Raw genomic sequence first — 10,716 nt, 5'->3', positions numbered from 1 at the left:
CCCGCCTTGGCCTCCCAAAGTGCTGGGATTACAGGCGTGAGCCACCGCACCTGGCCTTACTTTATATGATATTAATATAACCACTCCTCTTTTCTTTTTCCCCCATAAACTCAACCAAGTGGTACCTTCTTTCTTTTGATGAGTGTGTTTGCATGATATATTTTTTCCATTCGCTTACTTTCAATCTGCCTATATTTTTATATTTGAAATGAATTTCTTGTTGACAATATAGAATTGGTCATGTTTTTTATTCCACTCTACCAATCTCTGTCTTTTAATTGATGCATTTAAACCATTTATGTCTAATGGTTTACCTGCCATTTTATTTTCTGTTTTCTGTTTGTTTCCTCTGTTTTATCTTTCTGTTTTCTTTTCCTTGTTAGTTACTAGAACACTTTTTTATGGTGAAAAGTTAAGATATACATATATTTAGAATTAACCTGCTGGACTCAGTTTAGATGATCCCAATTTTGTTGGCAACATCCAAAGCATTGTAATCAGGAGCCAGTCAAATATATGCCTTCTTCTCTCCATCAGACCTAATCAGGGTGTTGACCTTGGGCATATCAATGTCATAGAGCTTCTTCACAGCCCGTGTGATCTGGTGCTTGTTGGCTTTAACATCCACAATGAACACAGTATGTTGTTGTTTTATATCTTCTTCATGGCAGACTCCGTGGTCAGCAGAAACTTGAGGATAGCATAGTGGGCAAGCTTGTTTCTCCTTGGGGCACTCTTCTGAGGATATTTGGGCTGCCTCCAGAGTCTCAGTGTCTTGGGCCGCCGGAAGGTGGGTGACGTGCGGATCTTTTTTTTTGTGGCTGTGGACACCTTTCAACACTGCCTTCTTGGCCTTCAAAGCCTTCACTTTGGCTTTGGTTTAGGAGGGGCAGGAGCTTTCTTCTTCACTTTTGGCACCTTCTTGTGAAAAGGGGTTACTGGAACATTTATTTGGAAATCCATTTTGGTTTATCTGTAGTGTTTTGGAGTATATCTCTTTATGCTTTTTTAGTAATTGCTTTAGGTATTACAATATATAGACTTAAATTATCACAGTCTACTGGTTGAGCATAGTACCACGACAAATGAAGTATAGAAACCTTACCTTCCTTTACATGTCTTTACCTTTCTGTTTACGGAACTTCCTCTATCTGTTCTTTTAGGGGAGATCTGCTGGTGACAAATTCTCTCAATTTTCCTTTATCTGAAAATCTTGTTTTTTCATTCATTCCTGAAAAAAAATTTTTCACTGGACGTGGAATTCTGAGTTGACAGTACTTTTCTTTCTGCACTTAAAAAATGTTGTGTCAGGCCAGGCGCGGTGGCTCATGCCTGTAATCCCAGCACTTTGGGAGGCCAAGGCGGGCAGATCACAAGGTCAGGAGTTCAAGACCAGCCTGGCCAACATGGTGAAACCCCATCTCTACTAAAAAGTACAAAAATTAGCTGGGCCTGGTGGCAGGCGCCTATAATCCCAGCTACTCAGGAGACTGAGGCAGGAAAATTGCTTGAAACCGGAAGGCGGAGGTTGCAGTGAGCCCAGATGGTGCCACTGCACTCCAGCCTGGGCAACGAGAGCCAAAATCCATCTCAAAAAAAAAAGGAAAAAAAAATGTGTTGTGCCGCTTCCTTCTGGCTTTCATGATATCTGGGGAGAAATTTGTTGTCATTCGAACTGTTTTTCTCCTATAGGCAAGGTGTCCTTTCTGTCTTATTGTTTTCAAGATTTTTTTTCTTAACAACAACAAGACAAAAAGAAATCTTAAGGTAACAGAAAGGTTGAAAAAAACAAGATTTTTTTCTGTCTTTAGATTCAGAAGTTTTACTATGATGTGCCTTGGCACAAGTTTCACTGGGTTTATTCTGTTTGGCGTTCTCTCAGTTTCTTGAATCTGTAGGTTTATGTCTTTTGCCAAATTTGGGCAACTAAAGGGAGGACTGTAGTTGTAATTGTGTCTTCAGCATACATTTCATTCCTAGTGACCCATCCAGACACCATCCTTTCCTCCTCCCATCTTAACTTTTTTTTTTTTTTAGACAGATTTTCATTCTGTCGCCCAGGCTGGAGTACAGTGGCATGATCTCAGCTCACTGCAACCTCCATCTCCTAGTTTCAAGTGATTCTCCTGCCTCAGCCTCCCGAGTTGCTGAGATTACAGGCATGCGCTACCATGCCCAGCTAATTGTTTGTATTTTTTTTTTGAAGAGACAGGGTTTCACCACGTTGGCCAGGCTGGTCTTGAACTCTTGACCTCAAATGATCCTCCTGCCTTGGCCTCCCAAAGTGCTGAGATTACAGGCATGAGCCACCATACCTGGCCTCATTATAACTTCTAATATTATAAACTAATTTTGTCTGGATTTGATGCAGTAAGACAGCATATGCTATTTTGTGTCTGGCATCTTTCATTGTGCAATTCATTTGTATTATTGCATATACTTGTATGTCGTTCACTCATTCTCATGACTGCCTACTATTCTATATGAGTTGATGAATACCAACATGTATTTGTCCATTCTACTACTGGGACATTTAAACTGTTTCCAGTTTGGGAATATGTTCTCTCTGCACCAGTCATGAATAGTGTTGCTCTAAACATTCTAGTATATATCTTTTGGTGCACAGATGAATGCATTTCTGTTGGATGCATATCCAGGAAGAGAATTCCTGGGTCATAGGATAGGCATCTGTTCAGCTTTAGTAGATAACACCAGTTTTCCAAAGTGATTGTGCCTATTTGTATGCTCATCAGCAGTGTACAAGGGTTTCCACGTTCCACATCCCCTGTACCAGACTCTTTTCATATTCGTTCTTCCTAGTTCTTGAAACAACTCTGTCGGGTAGACATTATTATTCGCATTTTAGGAATGTGGAAATCAAGGCTCAATGAATGTAGATGATTTGCTGAAAGTCACATGCCTAGTGTGGCAATGTTTCTTGGCTGGGCAGAACAGGAGCTCTGTTGAAACCCTCCCTGATAGAATGAGGCAACACTCTTCTCAAAGAAAGGTTCTCTGAGGGCTCTAGGTAAAATAAGACTGCTAAAGACATATGTCCACTCTGGTTTGCAAGCTACCCAGAAGCTCTGTGGTAGAGAACTTGAGCTTGGCCTATTATTGGCATTTAAACATGTGCAGCTGGTGGAGTGGAATTTCCTGAAGGTCAAACTGGGGTAAAGGAGGGAAAAAAGAGGGAGAAAGAGGAGGAAGAGGAGAAGGAGAAGAAGAAAAAGTAGAAGAAGGAGGAGGAGGAGGAGGAAGAAGGAAGAAGAAGGGAGGAGAAAGAGGAAGAGGAGGAAAAGGAGGAGTGAGGGGACATACGGGAGGAAGGAGGATGGGCCCTTGAGGCAAAGTCACTGTGTATAAAAGACATCTGGTAGAGAAGGCTTTACTGGGCAGCAGAGCTGGGATATTAGAGGCTGTAAATCCAGGTGAGAAGTGAGGCTGCACTTGACTGTCACTGTAACCCAGCTCTCTGCCTCACACCCACACCCTGGGACTCTGGGAAGGAGAGAACTATGATATAAGGAAATGATGAGTATTACTAGGGACCAGCAGGTTAGCTGCGGGAATGTTTTTTCAAGTAGCCGATCTGAAGAAGTAGATGGAAAGTTTCTGTTGGCTGGCGTAAAAGGGAGACAGAAGCCACAGAAGTCTGGATGATTACTATATCAAAATCAAAAGTTAATCAAAATCACTTCCTCTTCCTAGATAACACTAGGATTTTCAAATACTTTAACTCCATTTTCCCCTGCCCCTAATTTATATATTATAGTTGGCAATATTTTAATTATTTACCCCCCACAAAACATAATTTTTATTTTATACATAAATATATATATAAATAAAATACGTGTGTGTCTGTGTGTGTGTATTTGCAGTTAGTATTCATGTAGATTTATCTACATTTTTACCACTTTTCTTCTTCTTTAATTCTTCTTAGGTTTTCTTAGTTCTTACATCCAACATGTGAGATGATCACTTTCTTCTTTCAGAATTTTTCTTCACTGAGGTGATAAACTTTGTTTTGATCATAAAACAAATTTTTTATCTTATTTGTAAATTTCCTCTTGGTATTAAAATTACAAGTTGGTTGTTACTTTCAGCACACTGAAAATATTCTACCATTTTCTGGTTTCCATTTTCTATTGAGAAGTCAGCTATTAGACTGCCATTTCTTTGGAAGTAACCTGTCTTTTTTTCCAGCTGCTTTCAAATTTTTTTCGCTCTTTGGTTTCTGCATTTTTCACTGCAATGTTTCTAGGTATGGTTTCTTCTCATTTATCCCCCTATGGATTCATAGGCTTCTCAGAGATAGACATTGTTATTTTTCATCAGTTCCAGAAAACCTCAGCTAATCTCTTCAAATAGTGCTCTGCCCCATCCTCTCTCTACTCTCCTTCTGGGATTCTATTTAAATATATTTTAGACTTTCCTCCTCTGACTTCTATGTCTCTTATTCTCTTTCATTGTCTTTTATATTTTTTAATCTCCCTGTATTACATTCCAGGTAAATTCTTCTGACCTAATGTTCAGTTTTCTTTTCAGCTTTATCTAGTCTGTCATTAAATTCATCTATTAAGTTTTTACCTTCATTTCTGTATTTTTCATTTCTAGAAGTTCTATTCACTTTTTTTCAAATCTGCCATGCTGCTTTTTATAGTTTCCTACTTGCTCCCTACTTTTTCAAACTTATCTTATTTATTTAAACATAGTAAACATATTGTTACATATAACGTGTCTGATAATGCCGATTTCTGAGGTTTTCATGGGTCTTTCCTGCTAGCTGTCTTTCTGCTGGTTCTTGCTCATGGTTCCTAGTTTCCTTGTGTACCTGTTATCTTCAAGAATGTGTTGGGTACTATTGGAATAATTTGTGACCTTGGAAGATGATAACTTTCTTCAGAGACTTTCATATTTGCTTCTGCCAGGCACCTGAGATCATTACTGGTTCTTAAACCAAGTTCAAGGTTTGATACTCTCTGGACATTCAGATGAGGAACACTTTGACTATAAATCCATGTAAGTTTGCTTCTGGATTACACTCACTCTGAGGTTGTGGTTTTTTGAGATCCCAGCTTTCTATATACGGGGTCTCTTATCATACTCTCAACTTGTGTGGGTCCTGGGCCCTTATCACCCCATGTGGTTCTCGCTAGAACTGGCAAATGCCCTTGAACAAAAATCACTTCTTTTCTTATGAGCTTCACTGTGTGCCCATTTTCCTTTCAGTTAGGCCTAGTAAGTCTTTGCTATCTTGTCTTTTCAGTGCTTTTAAGAAGATGCTCTTTATATTTTATCTAGCATTTTAAGCTGTTTTTAGTGGAAGATATTTTCTGAATAACATAGCCTGCCAAAACTCTCAAATATTATTTAAGCAAAGTGTATTATTCCCTTTCCTCCCAGAAGACCTCACTTTTGAAACTCAAAGCCAGAAGATGCTCCTGTTTGCATTGTGTCATTTCTTCCCTAAGGCAATAAACTAAGTATCTTCCAAGATTAAGTGAGAAAGGGGCTACCGGATAACAGAAAGTGCCCTCCCCAATACGGATACTATCATGAAAGATTTTCTGCCACATGCCTAACATGCTTTCCAGGACATAGTTAGGGCTCAGTAAATAGTTTCTGTTGTCATGATTACTATTTCTATATCTAAACTCGCCTTGTTTAGGAAGCCTTCCTTTAATAACCTTGTCCCATTCTGATCTTTCATTTACTCTATTTTCTCCAAGTACTTTATTTATTTATTTATTATTTATTGAGACAGGGTCTCACTCTGTCACCCAGGCTGGAGTGCAGTGGTGCCATCTCGGCTCCCTGCACCCTCTACTGCCTGGGCTCAAGCGATTCTCCTTCCTCAGCCTCCCAAGTAGCTGGGACTTACAGGCACATGCCACCATACCTGGCTAATTATGTTTATTTTTTGTAAAGACAACGTCTTACTATGTTGCCCAGGCTAGTCTTGAACTCCTGGGCTCAAGCTATCCTCCTGCCTTGGCCTCCCAAAGTGCTGGGATTACAGGCGTGAGCCACCACGGCCAGCCTCTCCAAGTATTTTTTTACCCTCATTGATAGCTTATTGATTCACTCTAGCTGTTTTTCAAATATGCACTATTTCTCAGGAAAAAGCAATGACTGAACATCCCCCAGAAGTCTTTGAGGGTGTCTAAGTCCTCTGTTTCTTTATTTCTCTTATTTATTTATTTATTTGTTTTTGAGATGGAGTTTCACTCTTGTTGCCCAGACTGGAGTGCAGTGGCACGATCTCGGCTCACTGCAACCTCTGCCTCCCAGGTTCAAGTGATTCTCCCGACTCAGCCTCCCGAGTAGCTGGGACTACAGGCATGCATCACCATGCCCAGCTAATTTTTTGTATTTTTAGTAGAGATGGGGGTTTCACCATGTTGGCCAGACTGATTTCAAACTCCTGACCTCAGGTGATCTGCTCGCCTCAGCCTCCCAAAGTGCTGGGATTATAGGCATGAGCCGCTACGTCCGGCCAAGTCTTCTGTTTCTTTGTTAACTCTGATATCAATTAGAATTCTTTCAGCTGCAAGTGACAGAAGACTCAATTCAAACTGCATTAAGCAAAAAAAAAAAAACCATTCTATTGGTTCATGTAACTCAAAAACCAAGTGGTGGATCTTCAGGTACAGTTTGATCCAAGGACGCAATGAATGTCAGGAGAACCTGGTCTTTTTAGTCATAGTGGCTATTTTGCCTTTTGTTTTGGCTTCACCTTCAGGCAGCTCCACTCTGCATAGTAGCATCCAGAATCTCCACACTTACATCCTTACAGTTCCAAAGGCAGTGGGAAAGAGTTTCTAACTCCAGCAAAAGTCCCAGGATTCACCCCTATTGGACTAATTCTGTCAATGCCCACTTCACTGTGGCCAGAGGCATTTGGAGTGCTAATTGGCTACAACTGAACCAGAGGAATACTTCGTGGAACCCACAGTTGAGCCCTTCTGAAAATCATGTGCTGCAGGTGAATTGAGGGAATGTGGTTTCCTAAAGGAAAACCCAGAAGTTTGCCAAAAGATGGGGTAAATGGATACTGGGTATAGAAAAGCAACAACTGTCCACTACAATTCCCAATTGCTCACAGAAAAAGACTCAGTAATGGGGCCTGTGGCGCAGACTAAATTGCATTAACAAGGTGCTGGTTCTTTCCAGGTCCTTCAGACATTTGCACAGATGCTGCTCCGTCTAGCCACACACAAACAGGACAGAGCAGTTGTGTCCTGTGATGGATATGAAGGCTGCTCTCCCAGCCTCCCAACTGCTCTGGCCTAGGGGACCCTATTTGTGATTTATTCAGTAATGGGTCTCATCCAGGCTACTCTCTTGGCCTCCTCAAGCTGTTTTTCCTCCTCCTGATATAAAAATAACACTTAAACAGGTTCCCCAACCCCATGTCCGAGACAAATCAGATCTCCAGAGATAGCAGCCAAATTCACCCTAGGGTCAGGGTGCAGGGTCCTTATTATATACCCAGTCTGCGAGTGAGCCAAGAAGTAGGGTTTCCAGAAATATGATGCCATGGCCAGAGGCTAAAATCAATCACCCGAGGAGTATTTATTACCCAACTGAAGCCAGTACCTCCTGCTGATTTGCCCTGCCAGACGATGAGTGGAGGCAGGCTTGTGGTCAGAGCAGGGTGGAGATCTGAGAGGCGAAAGGCAGGTGTAGGGTGAGAGAAGGGGCAAGGCAGAGCTCTTCTTGAAAACTGTGAAGTTGCTATGCTTTTAGTGTTGAGCAGTGCTGGTGTGTACCCCCAGCTGGAGTCCTCCTCCACCCCAACCTTGACAGCAGCAGGAGATGGCTACTGAAGGGTCAGAGCCCTCCCGTGCCTGCCTGCCTGCCTGCCTGCCTTCAAAGCCTCATGGTTGGAGGTATAGAGGGGGCAGGTCTGTGTCTTCCATAAAGCTTAGTGGTTATAAATGTGGTGCCTGAGTCTGGGTTTGATTCTTGGCTCCATCCCACTAGCTTTGAGATTTTGATCAAGTTACTTAATCTATTTATGCCTTGGTTTTGTCATCTGTAAAATTGTAATAGTCAAAGTATTTCCCTCACAGGGTTGCAAGGGATTACACAGGACATGGCATATAATGTGTTTTGCACAGTGTGTAGTAGACACTAAGCACTGCACGAACATGCAGGGTCATTATCTACATATGTAATTCCTAATCCTACCTCAATCCTGCAACGTAGATGTATTAGTTAGAGAGAGGCTTGGCTGCTATAACAAAGGTTCAATTTGTCGATCGTTTAAACAAGACAGAAATTTATTTATCTCTAACATAACAATCCAGAGGTAGGCAGACCAGGACAGGGGTGGGGGATGTTCTATCATTTTCAAACTGCATTTTCCATCGTTGGGTTCAGTTTGCTGCTCCGGCTCCCATCATCGTATTGTAATTCTAGCCAGTAAGAAAGGGTTCCCTTTCCTCCTAGGGGTACCCTTCTATCATATAATATATATGTATATAACATTGCTGCTCAAATTTCATGGTCAAACTTAGTCATATGGCCATACTATCTGCAAAAGAAGCTGTGAAATATAATCTTGCATTCAGTTAAAATTGTAGTGGTTTACTAACAGCAGAAGAAGGGTAGAAGAGATATTGCTCTACTAGAGCTCACCCATCTGGCCATCCCACACAAAAAACACAGTTACTGCCCTTCAAAAGGAGGCAAGTCAGAGTTCCATCTGAGTACGGCACCCAGCTGAGAGTCCAGGCTATCTGAGGGGTGGGCAGTTCCTTCTTCCAGGTAGATGGACACCCTATGGTCTGGTGACCTAAAAACTAACAGGCAGGTGATTTGCACCTCCTACTCCCCACAGACAACAGTGGAGGAAGAAGAGGGTAAGCTCAATTAAAACACTGACTCATGCTGAGCACACTGCTACGCGCCTATAGTCCCAGCTACTGAGATAGGAGGATCATTGAGCCCAGGAGTTTGAGACTAGCGTGGACAACATAGTGAGACACTGTCTCAAAAAAAAAAATCCACTTGCAACTGAAAGAATGGCAAACACCCAGCAGCTGCTGGATCTTAATTATCAAATCTGGTTGGGCAGGAATGGCTAAGCCCTTTCCTGGCAGTGGAGTAAGTTCTTGGTCAGCACATTTGACCACCCCTGGTTCTGCTCTCTGGGAAGATCTCCCCTTTCCACTCTCCTATGTAGCCTCTGGCTTTTCCTGCTGGGAAGCTGTTGTTTATCCAATATCCTTTGTCCCACACTGGCAAACTTGTGCTTTCTGCAGTCCTTCCAGCCTTCACAGCCCTCTTCCTGCTGGTGCGGATTTGGAGGGCTGGGAATAAGGCAAGGGAAGGGGTGTCAAACCAGGCTTTGCTGATCAGGCTTATGGTTTCTTTGCCAATACAACACCCTCACAATCTTAGAAGCCTTCTGAGTGGCTCCATGTTTGAGTAACCACAGCCAATGGCCTCATGTAGACCTTATTTTTATGCTTGAACACTCTGGACTTGGTGTTCTTCCTACTCTCCTTTCTCTCAAACTGGTGGTGGCTATCTTGAGTCCATTTGAAAAAACATGCTTGGTGTGAAGGAAATTCTCTTACACTGATCTCTGTCCTCTGAGCCAGTTCCCACTGTCCAGTGAGCAGATGTCCTTGAGAAAGGCTGGGGACCACAGGAACAGCCCTGGCCAAGGCTGTCCTCCCAACTCCATTCTCCTCCACCCTCCCCATTGGCAGAGTAGGAACATTGAGGGTTGATGGAAAACACATGTAATAAACTCAGACAGAAATTCACCAGTCTGTTGTTGAGTGTCCACTCCAGGGCCAGGGCTGGGATGGAAGAGGCTGGAAGGAGGAGAGAAAGGGAGGGGCAGAGAGAGGAAAGCCGGAGCAGCTGGGTCAGCATTCCCAATCCGGACATTGACTCAGGCTCCGGGAATGCCAAGGAAGAGGGTGGCAGCTACTGGAGCCAGGCTGGGATCCTGTTGGCACCAGGGATGTAGGCACAGCACTCACAGAGGGTTGGGGGCTGGGACACCTGCACACCCAGGCATATCTCCCAACCACAGGTGGAAACAGATGTCTCTTCCCCTGCGGGGAGCTCTGAGTGCTCCCCACGCCTTCGAGGTGATTCTCACAGCTCTTCACCTGCCTGAAACACCCACTCCATCTCCTTCACCTGAGAGAGGGACACACTCCAGGGACTCAAATCTGGACATCTGGACATACACTAGCTGCTCTCCTGGACTACCCACAAACCCCTTGCCTCATCTCCAGCCTCTGAGCTGGCTGCAACTTGCCCTTTCTAACTCCAGCACCACCCTCTACTGAAATTAGAACAAGGAAGAAAGTTATGCTGATCTGCCTCCATGTTCCCTTCTTTGGTGCCTGATAAAGATGAGGGAGGCTCTTGGAATAGGGGCTCAGGACTCTGAGAGCCCAACTCTGCTCAATGACCATGTTCCCACATGCTCCAAGCCACATCCCCTCAAAAAGGGTCCCTCTAGCTTGTCCTCAGTGACCCAGGAGGCAGCTGAGGACCAAGTACCCAGATTATCCGGTGCGCCCCTTCCCTCCCAGCAACCCCCAGCCTTCAGGGCTGTAGCAGCTGAGCAAATGGGGGCCCCTCCCTCTCATTGCCTGACACCCAATCAGAGAGAAACCGATCCTGGCAGGGCAGGGTGCCCGGGGCCGGGCCCAGAATAGTGCAGCCCAGCCACAGTGTCGC

General features: G+C 43.6%; 1 pseudogene; it reads right to left on the bottom strand.

Moving 5' to 3' along the window:
* RPL23AP31 (ribosomal protein L23a pseudogene 31) lies at positions 401-934 on the bottom strand (annotated as a pseudogene).

Source organism: Homo sapiens, chromosome 2 (genome assembly GCF_000001405.40).
Source record: "Homo sapiens chromosome 2, GRCh38.p14 Primary Assembly".
Lineage (NCBI taxonomy): Eukaryota > Metazoa > Chordata > Mammalia > Primates > Hominidae > Homo > Homo sapiens.
The sequence above is the reverse complement of the archived record's forward strand: the minus strand, read 5'-3'. Positions and strand labels throughout refer to the sequence as shown.